This window comes from Homo sapiens, chromosome 9, assembly GCF_000001405.40.
Source record: "Homo sapiens chromosome 9, GRCh38.p14 Primary Assembly".
NCBI lineage: Eukaryota > Metazoa > Chordata > Mammalia > Primates > Hominidae > Homo > Homo sapiens.
Window position 1 is genome coordinate 124,612,607 of NC_000009.12, and position 21,683 is coordinate 124,634,289.

Sequence of the window (21,683 nt, forward strand, 5' to 3'; positions counted from 1 at the left end):
TTACTTAACTGGGTTAGCAGATGGGCCAGTTGCAAATCACACCAATCTAAGAATTTGCCTGCCAAGGAATTATACCCTTAAAAATGATCCAATTTCAGTTACAACTCTTGTACTGTGGGTAAGGTAAACCCCCATATATCCTATCAATGTCAATGCAAAGTAGTAGTTTGGGTTTTTCTTTCTTTCTTTTCTTTCTTTCTTTCTTTCTTTCTTTTCTTTCTTTCTTTCACATCTTCCATCACACAACCATTATACAAATTGGTACAACATTTTGAGAGGTTATTTTTGGCATTATTTATTAAAGCCAAGCCCATGCTTTAAAATGCCCATGCCATTTAATATAGCAGTTCTAATTCTAGGAATGTACCTTACAGAAGTACTTGTGCAGGAGTGAGAAGATATTCATGGCAGTACTGTATATAGTAGCTAAATAAATTTTAAAATTCAAAGCCAGGAGTGGTGGCTTATACCTGTAATCCCAGCCTTTGGGAGGCTGAAGAGGAAGGATCGCTTGAGGCCGGGAGTTTGAGACCAGCCTGGCCAACATGGTGAGACCCTATCTCTACAAAAAATTTAAAATTTAGCTGGATGTGGTGGCACATACCTGTAGTCCCATCTATTTGGGAGCTGACACGGAAGGACCAATTAAGCCCAGAAGTTTGATGCTGCAGTGAGCTAAGAAGGTGCTACTGCACTCCAGCATGGGCAAGAGAGCAACCCTGTCTCTAAAATAAAATTAAAATTAAAATTAAAATTAAGGCCTGGTGTGGTGGCTCACACCTATAATACCACCACTTTTGAAGGCCAAGGTGGGCAGATTGCTTGAGCCCAGGAGTTTGAGACCAGCCTGGGCAACATGACAAGACCGTCTCTAAAAAAATAAATAAAAATAAAAAACACAAAAATTAGCCAGGCATGGTGCCACACACCTGTAGTCCAAGCTACTAGGGAGGCTGAGGTGGGAGGATCGCTTGAGCCTGGGAGGTTGAGGCTGCACTGAGGCGTGAGCAAGCCACTTTCACTCCAGCCTGGGTGACAGGGCAAGACTCTATCTCAAACAAAACAAAAAATAAATAAGTAAATAAAAATTAAAAGAAAAGCTCAAACTTTGCAATCAATAGGGGGATGGCTAATAAATCTGTATAATACAAAGAACATTACTGGCATAAAGAAGTCTATAATATCTTGTTAATGAAAAGAATCAGTTTGATCTCATTTACAAAAACATATATTTAAAAGTATATAAAAGTTTACAGATGGACTTCTGCCACCCTAGCCAAGATGGAGTAATGGGGACCAGATTTGGTCACCTGGCTGGGGCAACTACAGAGCTGGACAAACCATATAAAACAATGATTTTCAGGTACTGGACCTCAGGCGGCCAAAGACAGTGACTCCAGAGAAAGAGGAAACAAATAAGGGAAGTCCTACAAATACCCACCGAAGCCCTGAGTTTCCAGCCTAGAGCACAGGAAGGGAGAACCCAGGTAGAGCTCAACAGTCCCAAGAGTTGAGGATTAGAAGCTGGGAGTCCAGGAGGCAGGGCAGCTGGAGTTCACAAAGAAGAGGGCTAGGAGGGAGAGGGCTATGCAGAGAGAGCACAGCTGAGATCTGCAGAGGGGTCCTCCAAGTCTTCAGCTGAGGACTGATCAGTGCACATATACGAGAAAAATTACCCAAAGCCAGGGAAAAAATCATCCCAAAGGAGTAGAGGGAACAATTCTGGGGCTCCATAGGGCCAAGAATAGTTTCTGTCTCCACCAGCCAGAATGAAAAACTTTCAAAGTTAGAGAATTTATTTCCTGAAAGTCCTAATTAGCATTTATATATCCCCCAACAACTGGCCCTCGGGTATTCTAAGAGCACTGATTCACTTATCAGATTAGCTGTTTGTCCTATTCAATCTATAAATGATAGAATCTAAGACAGGTGGTGATGGCAGGTTTGTGGCATGAGAGATGGATAAGTCAGCAGGAGCCAGAGAGGCAACTCCAACGGGTTGAGAGAATAGATCCTAAAAATATACTCTGCCTTAGGCTCCTCTTGACATAGACAAAAGTCCGCCACTATATGCAAAAATTCCCTTTGTAAATCAGCTTGGCACAAAAATGACTGTAAAGATAATATCATCATAACCCCTCCTCAATGAACTGGCTACCACACTGAAATTTTCTTTTTTTGTTGGTGCTTTTCAAGTCTCTGCAACTCTGCCCAAACAGACCTTCCCATTTACCATGTCCTTCTTCTTTGCAAGAGACACTCAAATGCATTAAAGACAATCCTTGCAAGCCTATTCCTGGAAAAATGGCTCTTCACAATCTTATTTGCCCTTGTGGTCCCAGTGATATAACTGGATTCAAAGCCTGGTATTGCTCTTTTAATGGTGTTTACTCAGTCCTGGTGAGGTTCACTTTTCACACAAATAAGATAGTTGGATTCCACTGAATGTTTCTATTCAGATCAAGTTAATACAAAGTTGGAGAGCTTAGATTCTTTATCATGTAACTTTGAGAATGCTCAGATGAATGCAGCATAAAAAGAAATTGCTGAACTTCCAGGCTAATGCATTAAAAACTGCATAGAATGTAATTCCATCATTACAATGCCCTAATTAGAAAGATAAATTAAGCAAAATGGGTAGGATGCTTTTTACAGTAAGTGTTTCACAACTAGTCATAATGATTTGAAAATCAACACTCAGCAAAATGATAATAGGCCTCTGAGAGGAAACTGGAGTAGGCACATATAGTTGGGGTTCCAGCGTGGGCACCAGGTACAAAACTGAGAAGTAAAATCCTGGTCTCTTAAAGGCCCATATAGCACCTTTAAAATCCTGCATGTGTATATGGTGAATTCTATAGAGGTCAAACACTGGAAACTAGCAAAGGTTATTATAATCAGTAGCAACACAATATTTATTTCAACTATTTCGTAATCCTAATTATCCCAACCTTCCAACTTTCTCCATTCCCCCACAAAGCACCTAACAAATCCTTGTGAAATATAAGGGTTTTTGCCTTTTTTTTTTTCCCAGAATGATACAAAACTTGGTAAGCAGACACTGAGTCACAAGGCTTTTGTCAAAGAGCTGAACAAGAGAAGACTGATTATAGGTTAAAATTTACATGTTCCTGGAATTCAGACAATTAAAATGAGCAGTAGCTAGAATGTTTGGAGCCAGAAAAACTTTGCCACTTAGTACTTGTACAATCTTAGGTTTTATTTATTTATTTATTTATTTATTTTGAGACAGAGTCTCGCTCTGTAGCCCAGGCTGCAGTGCAGTGGCACAATCTCCGCTCACTGCAACCTCCATGACCATGTTGGTCAGGCTGGTCTTGAACTCCTGACCTCAGGTGATCTGCCTGCCTCAGCCTCACAAAGCTGGGATTACAGGCGTGAGTCACCACGCCCAGCTCATTTCTGTTTTAAAACCAAGTTTTATTTGGCCATAAAACTTGTTGGCAGCTCATGAAACAGAAATTTCCTGAGATAGAAAAGAACTAATTGGACAGGCGCAGTGGCTCACATCTGTAATCCCAGCACTTTGGGAGGCCGAGGTGAGCAGATCACCTGAGGCCAGGAGTTCAAGACCAGCCTCGCCAACCAACATGGTGAAACCCCAACTCTACTGAAAATACAAAAATTAGCCAGGCATGGTGGCGCATGCCTGTAATCCCAAGCTACTCCACTGGCTGAAGCAGGAGAATCGCTTGAACTCGGGAAGCGGAGATTGCAGTGAGCCAAGATCGCGCCAATGCACTCCAGCCTGGGCGACAAAGCGGGACTCCATCTCAAAAAAAAAAAAAAAAAAAGAAAAGAACTAGAACTAATCACAATCCCACAACCACATAAACAAAAACATATATATTATAATATACTGAGGGGGTGTCTTTCTAAGCATAACATGAAATCCAGATATCATTAAAGAAATGATGATCAGATCTGCATCTATATAAAGGTCTAACTTCTAAAAGGCAAAGATCCCAAAATATATATACATACTTATACACACACATATATTAGTATTTACAAAACATAAAGAGTTCCTAAAAATCAGTAGGAAAAAGACAAGCAAACCACCCAATGGACAAAGAATATGACCAGGCAAAGATGCCCTAATATGATTAGAATGAGTAACAGTGAAAAGGTCACTAATAAAAACTCAAAAGTAAAGCAACCATTATAAACCATTTCTCATCAGATTGGCAAAAAATTAAAAATAGTGGTATATTTCAGTGGTGAAGTTTTGAAGAAATGGGTATGCTCATACAATGCTGGTGGTTGATGTACAACTTGAAAACAGCTTACAGGATCTACCAACATTTAAACTACACACACCCTGTGACCCAAAAATACCACTTCTCTCCATCTTAGAGAAATACACATGTTCACAAAAATATACGTATAAGGCACATTTATTACAATTTTAAAAAGTCAGAAGAAACCTAAATACTGATCAGTAGAGGAAGAGCCAAGATGGAGAGATGGGTAAGGAGATTAGAAACCAGACTTTTAGACTTCACCCAGTCAATCTGCAAGTCACTCATTCTAGATTTCAGCCAGGCTGCCAATCATTCAGCTAATTCCTCCCTCCCGTTGTTTATTAGCACCACTAACATAAAAGGAAATCACTCCAGCTTTGAGAGCCAATTTTGAAGATTCCCGGGTGGCCCTTATCCTACATAAGGCATTTCTTCAATGGCTGCAATTGGTATATTCTGCCTGGTTTTTGTTTTGTGGTAAATATTTTCATTCTATTTTTGTCTTTTATATAGTCAATTTCAGCAGCTGTAAGCCAGTCAACTGAATGGAAACACAATTAGCTAGCGCAGGGCACCTAGGTGTTATTATTTGGCCACTACAAATAATGCTACAGGGAAAGTTTCTGTACTTGTATCTTTTCTAGTGTCTGATGAGCTATTTTCAAAGGAAAAAGTCTTAGGGCTGGGTTATGAAGTTGGAAACTATAGAAAGCTTTATGAGTGGCTCCCTACAGCTTTGTCAGTTCCCCTAGTGATTGGACCCATCCAAACCGCTGTGGGTGTCCTAGAGTCCACCAGCAGAGGGCAGCATCCCCCAGACCAACAAGGCCTCAGGATGCAGACATTAAGCCTGGGGAGTGAAGAAAAGTGATCAGAAGACAAAGGCAAAATCCACAGAACATGCTAACCAGGGCTTCCAAAATTTGGGAGGTATGGCAGACCCTCGTACCTGCAAGATAACTGGGATTATCCACAACTAGCAACACCTAACACTCAGTGTCCTTGATTCCTTAACTGGCACCAAGATAAAAAAAAGTCACCTCCTCTTAAACAGGTATATATACTGGCCATGCCAAACCTTTATCAACTAGAATCTTGCCAAGCAACAAAGATTACTGAAGCCCAACCCCTGGGGAGACTAAACAGGCGATGCATTATGCTGCTGGCCTCATTTTGGCAGTTTCTGTTGAAAGAAAGAATGGAAAGGGCAAACCTACATATCCATCACAAATGTCTGGTTTCTCATTCCCTTTACTTGGCTTCATTTTAAACTGAGCTGGGGGCAAGGGAAGGATACTGTAAGCAGCAATGAGTTGAAAGGTAACCATGGCCAGGTACGGTGGCTCACACTTGTTATCCCAGCACTTTGGGAGGCTGAGGTAGGCGGATCACTTGAGGACAAAAGTTCGAGACCACCCTGGACAACATAATGAAACCCCATCTCTACTAAAAATGCAAAAAATTAGATGGGCGTGGTGGCATGTGCCTGTAATCCCAGCTACTCAGGAGGCTGCGGCAGGAGAATCACTTGAACCCGGGAGGCGGAGGTTGCATTGAGCCGAGATTGCACCACTGCACTCCAGCCTGGGCAACAGAGTGAGACTCTATCTCAAAAAATAAAAAAAATAGAATAAAGGAAAAAGAAAGGTAACCACGAGCCCAGAGCAGTTAGGTTACAGGTCAAAGAAAACAGAAATCACTATGGTTGAAATGTCTCCAACAGTGTTCACTTTAGATCATTAACCAAGTGAGTCATCCTAAATTAATCTGAACTAAAGTTTGGGCCACTCGATATTTCAGCTCTTGAAGGTCTAGGGAAATACCACATCCTTACCTATCAAGAGGCGAGACACAACAACTATTATTTGCCATTTGTTCACTGCCACTGATATGCTAACTTCTCCCTGGAACATTTATATGATCTGTATCACAGCCCACACTACAGTCATAATAAATAATACAGCATTGGTGAGAATAGGAAAGCAGGCTCTCTTACACCCTGATTGCAGAGTTGAGGTGGTAGGAGAGTAGGGGTGGGAGCAGTATTTACCACCATTTGGGGGAGGACGAATTTAGCAGCACCAAGATTCAAATGGATAAACTCTTTCACCTAGAAATTCCACTTCCAGGGTTTTACGCTACAAAAGTAATGCCATAAGTAAGCAAAGTATTATACAAGGATATTCACTGCAGCCCTATTCATAATAGAGAACAAATAAAAACAATCTAATTCCCACCAACAAAAGATGAATGAAATAAATCCTGGCATATCTATTAACGCAACCATTCGTTAAAACAATGAGACAGATCCATGAATCATATCATGGAACAATCTCTAACACAAATTAAGTGAAATAAAACAAGCTACACAATTAAGTATGTAATTTTAATTAAAAAAAAAATTTTTTTTGAGACAGGGTCTCCCTCTGTCGCCCAGGCTGGAGTGCAGTGGCGCAATCTTGGCTCAATGCAACCTCCGCCTCCTGGGCTAAAGTGATCCTCCTGCCTTGGCCTACCAAGTAGTTGGGACTACAAGCGCCTGCCACCACACCTGACTAATTTTTGTATCTCTGTAGAGATAGTGTTTCACCACGTTTCCCAGGCTGGTCTGAAACTCCTGAGCTCAAGCAATCTGCCTGCCTTGGCCTCCCAAAGCGCTGGGGTTACAGGCATGAGCCACCATACCTGGACTATAATTTTTACTTTTTTTAAAAAAACTGCATGTTTGGAAAGTCTAGAACCAGAGTATACATCAGACTGCCCAGGTTTCAGTTTTGGCCTGCTGCTTACTAGAAGTGTGACTTTACACTTCATCCTCAAACTTCAGTTTCCTTATCTGTAAAATAGGGAGGGGGGCACATATTGCCTTCAAAGGATTATGATGAAAATTCAATTCATTTATTTTATTGGCTGGCTGAGGTGGCTCACGCCTGTAATCCCAGCACTTTGGGAGGCCGAGGCAGGTGGATCACCTGAGGCCAGGAGTTCGAGACCAGCCTGACCAATATGGTGAAACCCCGTCTCTACTAAAAATACAAAATTAGCCAAGCATGGTGGTGCATGCCTGTAATCCCAGCTACTTGGGAGGCTGAGGCAGAAGAATCGTTTGAACTTGGGAGGCAGAGGTTGCAGTGAGCCAAGATTGCGCCATTGCACTCCAGCCTGGGCAACAAGAGCGAAACTTCATCTCCAAAAAAAAGAAAATTCAATTAATTTGTTTTATTGTTTTATATACATATATAAATATAACTGATTACACACAAATAAGGTAGCACAATATAAATGAATATATATAAATAAGGTACCTGCCATATAGCAAATGCTCAGAAGATATAGAAGATGATAATGATTATTATTAACATCACTACCTCTGAGAAGTTGAATTAAGGAGGTAACTTTGATTTACCAAGTTTTATACTTCCGTAAATAAATAATTTTTCAGAATAGGCATGAAGTACTTTTATAATTAAAAGATATACCCTTATTCCCAAGAGAAATGAAAACATATGTCCAAAGACTTGCATGTGAATGTTCATAGTAGCATTATTCACAAATGCTCATCAACTGGTGAATGGATAGATAAAATGTATGGCATATCCATACACTGGAATATATTCAGCACAAAAAGGAACTGACTACTCAAGTGCTATGGCACGGACAAACTTCAAAACCACCATGCTACGTGAAAGCAGCAAGACACAGATAATACATATGGTATAATTCAATTTATATGACATGTCCAGAAAAGACAAATCTATAGAGACAGTAGGATTAAGGATTGCTGGGTTTAACAGTAAAAGGGCAGAAAGGTCCTTATTAAGATGATGAAAATGTTCTAAAACTGATTTGTGGTAATGGTTGCAAAACTTGGTAAATATACCAAACATCGCTCAACTGTACAGAGTAAATTATGATATGTGAAACATGTCTCATTGTTTAAAAAAAAAAAAAAGGTTTAAAAAGATACATCCTTACAAAACCATGCCTATTTTACACTTATATAATGCTCTGCCCTTGGGAGGGGCTTTAACTTGCATTTCTCTATTTCATCCTCCTAACTATCATGTGAGGCAGACAGAGTAGGGACCATGCTCTTTGGAGAAAAAAGAAAAATGATGTTCAGATTAGGCCACAGCTACTGCTAGCAAATAAAGCACCCAGAGCCCAGATCGAAACACAACTAACTCAATAGATACAGTGGTAAAAATGTACCAAGACTTCAAGATTCCAGGAGTAATAACCAAACAGTGATCACAAGTACAGTGATGACCAGGGGCTTTGCCTGCAAAGTATACTCCTTTTTAAAATTCTTTAACTTTTTGAATAAATGTGCACTTAAGAAATCTGACATAAAACATGCTTTTTGTTCCTTACACAGTCTGGCTAAAAGTCACATCATTATGGATATGCATAGATTCCCTGACACAAGAAGAAACTTCCTTTTCAGTAGCTCAAAAAATGCTTAGCATACATTGGGGATTCAAGAAATGCTTATTAGGCTGGAAGTGGTGGCTCACACCTATAATCCCAGCACTTTGGGAGGCCGAGATGGATCACTTAAGTCCTTGAGTTTGAGACTAGCCTAGGAAACACAGTGAGACCCAATATCTTTAAAAAAAAAAAAAAAGAATGAGTGGGGTGTGGTGGTGGTGCAAGCCTGCAGTCCCAGTAACTTAGGAGGATACGGTGGGAGTATCACTTCAGCCAAGGAGGTTGAAGTTGCAGTGAGCTGTGACCATACCACTGCACTGGAGCCTGGGTGACAGAGTAAGACCTTGTCTCAAAAAAAAAGAAAAAGGAAAAAAAGGAAATGCTTCTTACTAATATGAAAAATAATAGCAAATTTTTTAAAAGTTTAATTTGAACATACTGTAAATGAATCTAGCATTTCATTTTGTACAGAAAAACTGAAGAGAAATGACAAGAGATAAAACCTAAACCATAAGCCACACAGAAATGTTTTTGAGGGGGCAGGGGAGGAAGGTGGTTAATTTTTGGCAATCATTGTGCTAAAAAGCCACAGGCATTCCCAGCACCAGGCAAGCAACCAAGAAAATAACAGCCGAGCATGGTGGCTCGTGCCTATAATCTCAGCACTTTGAGAGGCCGAGGCGGGCTGATCTCTTGAGCCCAGGAGTTTGAAACCAGCCTGGGAAACATGGTGAAACCCCGTCTCTAACAAAAATACAAAAAAATTAGCCGGGCATGGTGGCATGCAGCTGTGGTCCCAGCTACTTCGCAGGCTGAGGTGAGAGGATCGCTTGAGCCTGGGAGGCAGAGGTTGCACTGAGCTGAGATCACACCACCACACTCCAGCTTGGGTGACAGAGTGAGAAGAAAACAAAAGTCTGGCATGACCAACCAGTATTTTCCCACGCTCTTCTCCAGTTTACACTGACTAGGGTTTACAGAACTGCAACAAGAATTGGTTCTGTGTGTAATATCCCATGTCCTTCACACTAAACTGGGTTGACAATGTCGGTGATCTCCCTAAGTCCCGTTTTCCAGATGGAAAACTAGGTTCAGACCGGCAAAACAGCAAAGTTTCTTTGACATTTTCTGTTGCTCACTGCTAAAAAGATTATGGCTTTTCAGCTGTTAATTGAAACACTGTGTGTCAAATCCTGATGCCTAGTTGAGATAACTTTACTTAATCACATTCTCTGAGGAGAAATGTCTTAGAAATAGCTGTTAAATAAAATAAAAGTTAAGCAAACTACAAATACTGAACCACTATAACGTATTTGGGACTTTTGTTTTGATACTTGATATATTTTTTCAGGATTTGGGCACCTACAGAGGATAAAGACTATCAGGAAAAGTCACAAGCCATAAAGAAACAGGTTTTGGGAATGGGGTAGAGCAACAAAAACACTGGAAAACCTTAAAAAAAAAAGAGTAGGAAATTGAGCTCAATTCTGGCTTCAATGGGGGTGGAGGAATGAACTTCTCACAGAGGTGTAGATCCTGCACAAGCAGGGCACAATGTCTGAACGGGTTCAATTTGAAAAAGGGATTTTGCAGAGAGAAATGGACCTTGGAAAATGGTCTATAAACCAATGGTTGTTGGGGTCCCTCAGAAGACTCACAATGTAATAAAACTACAGAAGCATAACAAGGAGGCTATGATGAACTCAGGGCCAGGCAATACTACTAAAAATCCAGAAGTATATTTCCCTCCACAGTGTGCCAAATAAGAGGTCTATCCCTGTAGAGGTTGGCAGGATTGTCTCTGCCTCTCTTATCAGCCAGCCCTCTGCAGAGGTCATGGCAGGACAAGAAAGGGAAACTGTCAAAATGAAGTGACTTGAAGGAAGGTAGGGATATGATGGCAAGGTGTCAAGACTTGATCTTTGGACAGTTCTGAGTTTTCAAAGAGTTTGGGGGAAAGGAGGCCATTCAGGCAAGCAAAGAGCTAGGAAGGAAAGGAGATTCCTTTCAGAGGACTGAGAGGATAGTGTATGTCTCATGAGTCCAATTATTATTATTATTATTTATTTATTTATTTGAGACAAGGTCTTGTTCTGTCACCCAGGCTGAAGTGTAGTGACATGATCACAGTTCACTGCAGCCTTGACCTCGCGGGCTCAAGATCCTCCCACCTCAGATTCCCAACTAGCTAGGACTACAGGCATGAGCTACCATGCCTGGCTAATTTTTTTTTTTTTTTTTAAGAGATGGGGTCTCACTCTGTTTCCCAGGCTGGTCTTCTGGGCTCGTGTGATGCTCCTACCTAGGCCTCCCAAAGTGCTGGGATTACAGGCATGGGCCACCACACCCAGCCTGAGTCCAATTACTTAGAATCATAATATCCTGTCTTAATTTCTCCTCCCTACCCCCTGAATATTTAGTGAGGGAAGCCTGTTTTAGCTGTTCTAGCCCTACCTCAGCTGTACTATATGGGGTCTTGAAGGAAAAACTACTTATCTCTGCTTAGACCAGAAAGTTAAAGAAGAATGGATGTCTAACCACCCACTAACATCTGTTTGACAGACAACATAAGCCTCCTCCCCTTTCTCCACACTTTTTCTTCTACCTTTATTAAGCCCTTACTTTGTGCCTGGCACCAGTGTTAACTGTTTTACATGTATCACCTCACCAGAGTCTTTTAAGTCTGAATGTAAGTTTATTATTCCCATTTCAGAGATAAACTAAGGCTCAGAGGTTAAGTTGCCCAAAGTCAAACAGCTAGTAAAGGGCAGAGCTAGAATATGAACCCAGGAATGTCGGAGTACTACAAGCTCTTAACTACCATGCCATACTGGTGGCAACAATTAGTAATTACCAAGACTTCAAAGGTATGGTGACTCACAGGGGCAAGAGTTAATGTACTCTTCTCTTTGCAAAGATTTCCTTCCAGGCAAATGATGATAAGTTCTATCGTTCTTGAGGGCTGTGGCAGTTTCCCGGTACATGGTGGCAGCAGTGGGATCACAGCCGTGGGTAAGCTAGGCTAGCAAACCAAAGCATCCTGTCCTCAGACAGATGAGAATGTTACCATCTGAACTTCTTCAGGTCAATTTTCGAATACTAAGCTGAATACTGAAAAGACACCTTTTCTATTTCATTCTCCCTCTGAATGGGTAATATCCAGCCACTCCAATTAGTTTCATATTAGGTATCTTTTCTTAAAATCTCTGTTGGCATCATGTCCCTGCTTAGCCTGAGAATGTGCAGAGACAGAACGCTGGGACGGGAGTTATCCTAGGACACACTGACTACTTTCATAGGACCATGAGGCTATTTCCCAAAAGCTGAAATCAAGAAAATAGGTCCCCTAAAACAATTAGTGTTTCTAAAAAACATGAAACAGCTCTTTGAGATATCAAATATTATTCAGTCAGACTTTGTGATTTGAGCTTGCCATTGGTGGAGGCTCTGCAGCTTGCGCAGTGCTCTGGGTTTTGCTCCAGATCTGTCACATTGCATTAGTGCCCTTCCTCCTCACTGCCAACAAAAATAACAGCCTTGAACATGGCAGCACAATCCATTTGTCCTGCTCTAATTACTTTTTGACATTACTTTTTCTGTTGCTAGCTTGTTTTTTTTTTTTTTTTTCTACCAACCTCAGGGCATCATTAGAGTCATCTGAAAACAAAATCTTTAGGTTCTGCCAATATATATTTGGATAACTTTCTAGCACAAAATGGTTCCAAAGAGCAGTATGATAGTAGTTATAAGAAAAGCCACAAGGCACTCATAACTATTTCCAGAATTCCCCAGATGTCACAGAGAGTATAGCCAAGGACAAAATGCCAGGGTTTGAAGTTATAGGACCTGGGCAAGTTGTAGCTCTACCACTCACTAGCTGTGAGACCTTGGAGCAAGTCTCCGAATCTGTCTAGTTTTAGTTTCCTCTTTTGACAAATGGAGTCATCTCTTTACTCTGGTAACCTCACAAGAGCTGCTGTGAAGATCGGTTGAGATAATGCATGTGAAAATACTTTAGAAAGAGCAATAGTGTTATTATTATTGAGATAGTGTCTCGCTTTGCCACCCAGGCTGAAGTGCAGTGGCATGATCACAGCTCACGGCAGCCTCAACCTCACAGGCTCAAGCGAGCCTCCTGCTCATCCTCTCAAGTAGCTGGGACCAAAGGTATGCGCCACCATGTCTGGCTAATTCTTTTTTGTAGAGGTGGGGTCTCCTTATGCTGCCCAGGCTCATTTTATTAAGAGGCATAAAATGATGACCAATATTGCAAGGCTCTCTAGGTTTTCTGTTCTTCATTAATTCTAGTGTGTTCTTCATTAATTCTAGAGTGTGATAGTTATTTTTATGCCAACTTGCTTGGCTGGGCCACAGGGTGCCCAGACTGTTTGGTCAAACAATATTCTGGGTGTGTCTGGGGGGGGCTATTTTTGGATGAGATTAACATTTACGTCTGCAAACTCTGAGTAAAGCAGATTGCCCTCCATAATGTGAGTGTGCCTCATCAAATTAGGTGAAGGCCTGAACAGAACAAAAAGACCAGCCTCCCTCCTACAAGAGAGAACTCTCCAGCAGCCTGCCTTTGGACTTGAACTGGAACATTGGCTACCGTAGGTGTCTGGCCTGCAGACCTTCAGACTGCAAATGCAGCATGGCTTTCTTGGGTCTCCAACTGACTGAGCCATCCTGCAGATTCTGTGTCTTTATTCATTTATTTATTTTTTGAGACACAATTTCACTGTCACACAGGCTGGAGTGCAGTGGTACGATCTCAGCTTACTGCAACCTCTGCCTGCGGGCTCAAGCAATTCTCCTGCGTCAGCCTTCCGAGCAGCTGGGACTACAGGCGCACGCCACCATGCCCAGCTAATTTTTGTATTTTCCGTAGAGACAGGGTTTCACCATGCTGGCCAGGCTGGTCTTGAACTCCTGACCTCAAGTGATCTGCCCGCCTTGGCCTCCCAAAGTGCTGGGATTACAGGCTTGAGCCACCACACCCAGCCATATCCTACAGATTTTGGATTTGCCAGTCTTCATAATCACGTGAGCCAATTCCTTAAAATGAATCTCCATCCATCCAGCCAGCCAGCCTCAAAGCATATTGGTTCTGTTTCTCTGGAGAATAATGACTCATACATCTAGGATCTAGTTTTGTTTAGAATTCAAATGATCATACTATGCACTAAAAATTAGGGGCAGAAATATCAGAGATAAATTAAATCCAGAAGTGTATCTTCCAGAGCCTCCAGCATGACAGATACTGACTTACAAATTATATATATTTCCAAAAGTCACTTTTTGGCCTGCTGCCTGGAACTTAAAAGGCTATCCCTAATAATACTGGAGCTTCAGGCGGGGCGTGGTGGCTCACGCCTGTAATCCCAGCACTTTGGGAGGCCGAGGTGGGTGGATCACGGGGTCAGGAATTTGAGACCAGCCTGGCCAAGATGGTGAAACCCCGTCTCTACTAAAAATACAAAAATTAGCCGGGCGTAGGGGCACACGCCTGTAATCCCAGCTACTCAGGAGGCTGAGGCAGGAGAATCGCTTGAACCCGGGAGGTGGAGTTTGCAGTGAGCCAAGAGGGCACCACTGCACTCCAGCCTGGTGGCAGAGTGAGACTCCATCTCAAAATAATAAAAATAATGGAGCTTCAGGACAAAAGACTACTGAGAAGCTACCATTACAGGAATTGACTGATACATATTTATTGGATAAGTACACAAATGAATGTTGTTCTATTTAGAAAATGCTTTTGGAAGAATACAACATTTCTTGAGCACTTCCAGAGTACTATGCACTGCACTAGATGTTTCACATATATTGTTTCATTCAACACTTAACATCTGTAAGACAATGTTTCCTATTTCTTAAAATGACAAAACTGAGCTCTGACAGATGTTTTGGCCTAGGTCATGTACCTAGAATGTAGTGTAACTGAGATCAGAACCCAGATGATTCCAGTGCCTTGCCTCTAACTACAGGATAGCCATATTAAATAATCTAGCCCCGCCTTAAAAAACAAACAAACAGAAAAGTGGCAGTGATTAACTAAGATGTACCTTTATTTCCATACCATTTTTTCCCTTCCTCCACTCACTCCTAAATGAAGGATGGCAAAAAACTCTAAGAAAACAAAAAGCACTGGACCACAGGAGATTATGGAAATCCACAGGCTGAGGGGTTTTCAGCAGGATGACAAAGTAAGCAACTTGATTCTAGCAAAAGTTTGGATGTAAAGAACATCTTAGCAAATGAGAGTGAGAATTTCTTTTTTAAAAATTTTTTAGAGTTGCTGTCCCTTTGTCACCCAGGATGGAGCACAGTGATGCAATCACAGCTCACTGCAGTCTTGAATTCCTGGACTCTGGCAATCCTCCTGCCTCAGCCTCCTAAGTAGCTCAGACTACAGGCATGTGCCACCACAACCTGCTAATTTTCAAATTTTTTTGTACAAACGGGGCCTTGTCATCTTACCCAAGCTGGTCTCGAACTCCTGGACTCAAGCCATCTGCCTGCCTTGGCCTCCCAAAGTGCTAGGATTACAGGCATAAGCCACCATGCCTGGTCTGAGATTTTCTTTTTTTTTTTTTTTTTTTTTTTTTTTTCAAAACAAAGCAACAGAAAGTACAGTGGTCCCAAGGAACTATAAATGTAGATGGAAGAAAATACGGTGTGTGTAGAGAGTGAAGGGGACTTTGTTTGGCCTTTGCTTTTGTTGTTGTTATTGTTGTTGTTGTTTTTGAGACGGAGTCTCGCTCTGCCGCCAGGCTGGAATGCAGCGGTGCAATCTCAGCTCACTGCAACCTCCGCCTCCTGGATTTAAGTGATTCTCCTGCCTCAGCCTCCCGAGTAGCTGGGACTACAGGCGCACGCCACCACACCCAGGTAATTTTTGTATTATTAGTAGAGACGGGGTTTAACCACGTTGGCCAGAATGGTCTTGAACTCCTGACCTCAGGTGATCCGCCCGCCTCGGCCTCCAAAAGTGCCGGGATTACAGGCGTGAGCCACCGCACCTGGCCTGCCTTTGATTTTCTAATAATTATTAATTTTTTTTGAGATGGAGTCTTGCTCCGTCACCAGGCTGCAGTGCAGTGGCACAATCTTGGCTCACTGCAATCTGGGCCTCGCAGGTTCAAGCAATTCCCCTGCTTCAGCCTCCCAAGTAGCTGGAACTTCAGGCACATACTACCACACCCGGCTAATTTTTTGTATTTTAATAGAGATGGTGTTTCACCATGTTGACCAGGATGGTCTCAATCTCCTGACCTTGTGATCCGTCCGCCTTGGCTCCCAAAGTGCTGGGATTACAGGCATGAGCCACCACGTCCAGCCTATTTTTTTTTTTTTAAAGAGATGGAGTCTTGCTCCGTTGCCCAGGTTGGAGTACAATGGCGTGATCTTGGCTCACTGCAACCTCCGCCTCCCGGGTTCAAGCAATTCTCCTGCCTCAGTCTCCTGAGTAGCTGGGACTAGAGGCACACACCACCACGCCCGGCTAATTTTTTTGTTTTTGTCTTTGTTTTTGGATTTTAGTAGAGACGGGGTTTCACCATGTTTCCCAGGCTGGTCTCGAACTCCCGAGTTCAGGCAATCTGCCCACCTCGGCCTCCCAAAGTGCTAGGATTACAGGCGCGAGCCACCGCCCCCGGCCCTGGCCTTTGCTTTTAATGTCAACACATCCTCACCATGATGACCACCTAAGCTGCAAGTGACACGTCAAGCCAAAGACAGGCCAAAGAGGCCTCTGCCTCCTGCAATGCCTCCCTTTTACCATCTCAGATGGCTTTTTAGGATTCATCCTTAATTCACATTCTTCCTGCCACAAGTGAATGGAGTTAAAAAGGGAAACTTATCCTGCATTTTCTACTGGTGTGCAGAGCCTAACAATCAAGGGCAGGAACCTACAGAACGATAAGTAATGAAACAAGAATTGTTTGTTATCAGGCCAATTAAATTCGATTTTAACTCATTAAAACAGGCCAAGTAGAAACCAGCTGTAAAGTGAGACTGTATTTTCCTGCAACAAAGTGTGACAGCAAGTTATTTAAATATAATTATGACACTTGTAAAATGCTGCAATTGAATTAGTTTCAAAACACATTTCTTCTTCATCTTGATCACTTAATAGTAAATCCACTTATAATCATGACTTTAGAATAACTCTGTGAGAAAGTATCATCACCTCCATTTTACCAGTGAAGAAACTGAGGCTCCAGAAGATGGGAATCAAATATCCAAGTGGGCAGAGCTAGAACCTGACTCCAAGTTTTGAGTGTTTTTTCCTTTCTCGAGGCCATTTCCCAGAGCGTGCAAGGTCTTCCCTGTTAGGCCTCTCACTTTCTTGAGGTGTCCTGATTGTTTTACCTTCCTTTGCCTTCCTAGAAGAATACTGTTTCTTCCTGTCATCTTAGCACATCGTTCTATGTACAGTGTTGGATAGGCACTACTGTAGCTATAGCTTCTTAGTCATTTCAGTTTGAAGAACAACTATGCCTGCCAAGTTCTAAGTCACTCATGTGGTTTTTTTAAAATAGTCACCAGCACAAGGGAGGAACTGACTCCAGTGATACTGATTTTTTCCTCCAAATTTTAGGGCAACTTTATTTCATTAATTTTTCATTAAAGTGTAAACAGTCTGTGGCCAAAAGGCAAGAATCTTTTTGAAATGAACATTTTGAGATACTAAAGTAGTAATAAACCACGTTGCCCAAATTTTTTCATACATGTTATCAAGAGAGAAAGTAATAAAACCTCAAAATGACAGTTCCAGATCAAAGCAAATACCTACAAATACAGAGCTATATGTGAATTATATTTTATCATACAATATCTAGAATTAAACTCCTAGAAAATTATATTTAGAATGGCTACACCTTTCTGAACTCCAGTTCCTCCAAATCAGTTTTTTTTTTTTTTTTTTTTTTGAGACGGAGTTTTGCTCTTGTTGCCCAGGCTGGAGTGCAATGGCATGATCTTGGCTCACTGCAACCTCTGCCTCCCAGGTTCAAGTGATTATCCTGTCTCAGCCTCCTGAGTAGCTAGTAGCTGAGTAGCTAGTAGCAGGCGCATGACACCACGCCTGGCTAATTTTTTTTTTTTTGTATTTTTAGTAGAGACGGGGTTTCATTATATTGGTCAGGCTGGTCTCCAACTCCTGACCTCAGGTGATCCGCCTGCTTTGGCCTCCAAAGTGCTGGGATTACAGGTGTGAGCCACTGCACCCAGCCCCAACTCGGCTTAAAACCAGTGGAGGCTGGCTATCCTAGGGGGAAGAGCATGGGTTCTGAAATCCGACACACCTGGGTTCCTATTCTTGTTCTACTATTTTATACTTTTGACCCCTGGGCAAGTTACTACATTTCTTTTTTTTTTTTTTTTTTTTTTTTTGAGACAGAGTTTCGCTCTTGTTGCCCAGGCTAGAGTGCAATGGCACGATCTCAGCTCACCGCAACCTCTGCTTCCCGGGTTCAAGCGATTCTCCTGCCTCAGCCTCCCGAGTGGCTGGGATTACAGGTATGGGCCACCACATCCTGCTGATTTTGTATTTTTAGTAGAGACGGAGTTTTTCCACGTTGGTCAGGCTCGAACTCCTGACCTCAGGTGATCCACCTGCCTTGGCCTCCCAAAGTGCTGGGATTACAGGCGTGAGCCACTATGCCGGGCCCTACATTTCTTGAAGTCTCAGTTTTCTCACATAAAATAAGAATACCATCCCTTATCTTTTACAGTTATTGTGAGGTATAAAGTAAATGAATGAATATTTCAGGCAAGCTCAGTTTCTGGGATATAAATGATGTTCAATAAATACCAATAAGTACTCAATAGATGTTTGTTATGAACAGTTTTAAAAGCCCTATAAGGAATATGCGTGCTGTACCTCCCATGACCAGCGAGAGGGAAATGAAGATCAGTGATATGACATTAAGTAGTGAAGATTTATTTATACTTCTAGAATTTCTGCATTTTAGCGTTTGTTTCTCCCTGAATTACATAGAATATGGCCACAACTGGAAGATGACTTTAAGGTGAAATATTAAGATACAAGGATCATTGGTAATTAAATAAAATGATTTTCTTTTTAATCTATATACAAAATGGTACCCAAATTGCTACAAAGAGAAAACATTTTCTACACAGCTTGCATTTCTGCAGCATAGCTTTAAATGAAACCACTCTGTAATCTCACAGATTATGTCTAAAAATAGAATGATAGGCCAGCTGTCAGACATATACATTGTAGGGAGAATGGGGCCAAGAATCTTTCCCCAAACACCACTGGAACTCTTCTGGCATTTGCTCCCACAAAGACAAAAAACTAAAATCTATTCAATTCCAGCAGCTACCTGCATTTTTTTTTTAACTTTTAAGTTCAGGGGTACCTGTGCAGAATGTGCTGGTTTGTTACACAGGTAAACATGTCTCATGGAAGTTTGTTGTACAGATCATTTCATCACCCAGGTATTAAGCCTAGTATCCATTAGTTATTTTTCCTGATCCTCTCCCTCCTCCCACCCTCTGCCCTCTGGTAAGCCCCAGTATGTGTTGTTCCCCTCTATGTGGCCGTGTGTTCTCATCATTTAGCTCCTACTTATAAGTGAGAACATGCGGTATTTGGCTTTCTGTTCCTGCACTAGTTTACTAAGGATAATGGCCTCCAGCTCCATGTATGTCCCTGCAAAAGACATGATCTTGTATTTTTTTCTTATGGCTGCATAGTATTCCATGATGTATATGTACATTTTCTTTACCTAGCCTATCATTGGTGGGCATTTAGATTGATTCTGTGTCTTTGCTATTGTGAATAGCGCTGTAATGAATGTACATGTGCATGTGTCTTTATAAATAGAATGATTTATATTCCTTTGGAAATATGCCCAGTAATGGGATTTCTGGGTCGAATGGTGTTACTGTATCTAGGTCTTTGAGGAATTGCCACACTCTTCCACAATAGTTGAACTAACATACACTCCCACCAACAGTGTAAAAGCTTTCCTTTTTCTCGACAATCTTGCCAGCGTCTGTTATTTTTTGACTTTTTAATAACAGCCATTCTGACTGGTGTGAGATTGTATCTCATTGTGGTTTTGACTAACATTTCTCTAAGGATCAGTAATGTTGAGCTGTTTTTCATATGCTTCTTGGCCACATGTATGTCTTTTCAGAAGGATCTGTTCCTGTCCTTTGTCCACTTTTTAACGGGGTTGTTTTGTTTCTTGTAAATTTGTTTAAGTTCTTACAGATGCTGGATATTAGACCTTTGTCAGATTACTGCTTTCTTTTAGATTTAGGAGAAAGGATTGGAATGCCAAGATTTGTAAGGTTCTTGTGAAATCTCCCCAAATCTGCAATGTGCTGTTCCTAAAAGGCTTATAACAAAAGTATCATGCATGATCTGAAATTATTGGTTCAATACAACCCCATTTATAAAAATGTTTTGCTTTTTTGTGAACTCTCCCTTCCAAGTTATTTAACCTTTTAAAATAAAAAGATGCAATGTGATGGGGACTGTGTTCTAGTCCAGACCCTGCCATTAATATGCTACATAAACTTAGGTAAACTATAACCCCTCTATGGACCTCAGTTTTCCCATCTGGATAATGAGAAAGTTGTGGGAGACAGCCATGTAAGGATGTGTTTCAGCTACAATGCTCTAGATTATCTGAGCCTCAAAATTTCCACACAAGCTGAAAAGAAAAGAAACAACCTTTTACTTCTAAGCTATGTTTTGAGGTGCTTCAGTGCCAATTTCTTAGGTAATCTTTCCACCGAATCAAGGATGCAGTGCCCCTAAAAAGATGAATGGAAGACACTTCAGGCCGGGCGCAGTGGCTCACACTTGTAATCCCAGCTCTTTGGGAGGCCAAGGCGAGCGGATCACCAGGTCAGGAGATCGAGACCATCCTGGCTAACACGGTGAAACCCCGTCTCTACTAAAAATACAAAAATTAGCCGGGCATGGTGGCGCGCGCCTGTAGTCCCAGCTACACGGGAGGCTGAGGCAGGAGAATGGCGTGAACCCGGGAGGCGGAGCTTGCAGTGAGTCGAGATCGCGCCACTGCACTCCAGCCTGGGCGACAGAGCGAAACTCCGTCTCAAAAAAAAAAAAAAAAAAAAAAAGTTAGTGATATGAAGATCACAAGGTAGGGAAGGGGTAGGGTAAAGAGAACTAGGACACAGCTGTAGTGTTCTGCAGGCTAAAACATAGACTCAATGTGTCACAGAAAATTAAATCAAAAGTTGAATGTAATTCCTGGTCTCCTGAATAAAGATAAGCAGGGCCCCTGGTACTGTCACCAGCCACAGTGGAGCCATTCTAGGTCCTCAATGACATCCAATTCTAAGCCCCAGGATCATCCTAAATTGTGGAGGCAAGGTCACTGCTCCATCGGGCCAAATTCTACAAAGCTCCAATTGCCCCAGACAGAAAAAAGAAGATGCCAACTGCTAAATCCATTTTGATAGCTAGAGGAGGATTAAAGAAACTGCACGCATGGTGATGTCCAAATCTGAGCAATGAGATTAACCTCCATGTGGACTGCCTATACCTCAGAGAGAGTTGGTTGTTTTTTAAACACTTCCAGAATTTATTTTCATTGCAGCCATATACAATTTAAGAATATTTGTTTTCACAATGTACTGTTAAAGGAACAGACAATACAGTACTTTATAGATTCAGAATGTTTTTGGAATATGATGATAGCCTCTTGACTTAATATATGTTTTTGGAATGAATTAAGTTGATTATTCAGAGGATGATAATCCGAATTGTATTTGTATAGTCAGCCTGTCATGATAAATAATTATATAGTCACTGTAAACGCTACACAATATTTTTATAAGATAACAAAGGAAAAGAAAAAACAGATATAGATTTTTAATAAGGAAAAGCTGGCCTATAGAAAATACCCAAGGCAGGTTACAGTAGCAAAGTTTAAGCCAACTTTGTTAAATGTCAGGTACATAACAAAAAAGTTTAACATT

General features: G+C 41.5%; 1 protein-coding gene across 4 annotated transcripts in view, besides 1 other annotated feature; it reads right to left on the minus strand.

Moving 5' to 3' along the window:
• The window catches only part of NR6A1 (nuclear receptor subfamily 6 group A member 1), a 254,037-nt gene that overhangs the window by 95,332 nt on the left and 137,022 nt on the right, over nt 1-21,683 (minus strand). The window lies entirely within an intron of this gene.
• Nucleotides 5,043-5,544: an enhancer, noted in NCBI's record as "NANOG hESC enhancer chr9:127379928-127380429 (GRCh37/hg19 assembly coordinates)". NCBI's record gives its function as "activates a minimal SCP1, AML or CMV promoter by ChIP-STARR-seq in primed H9 embryonic stem cells {active_cell/tissue: H9 hESC(primed)}" and the evidence as "EXISTENCE:reporter gene assay evidence [ECO:0000049][PMID:30033119]".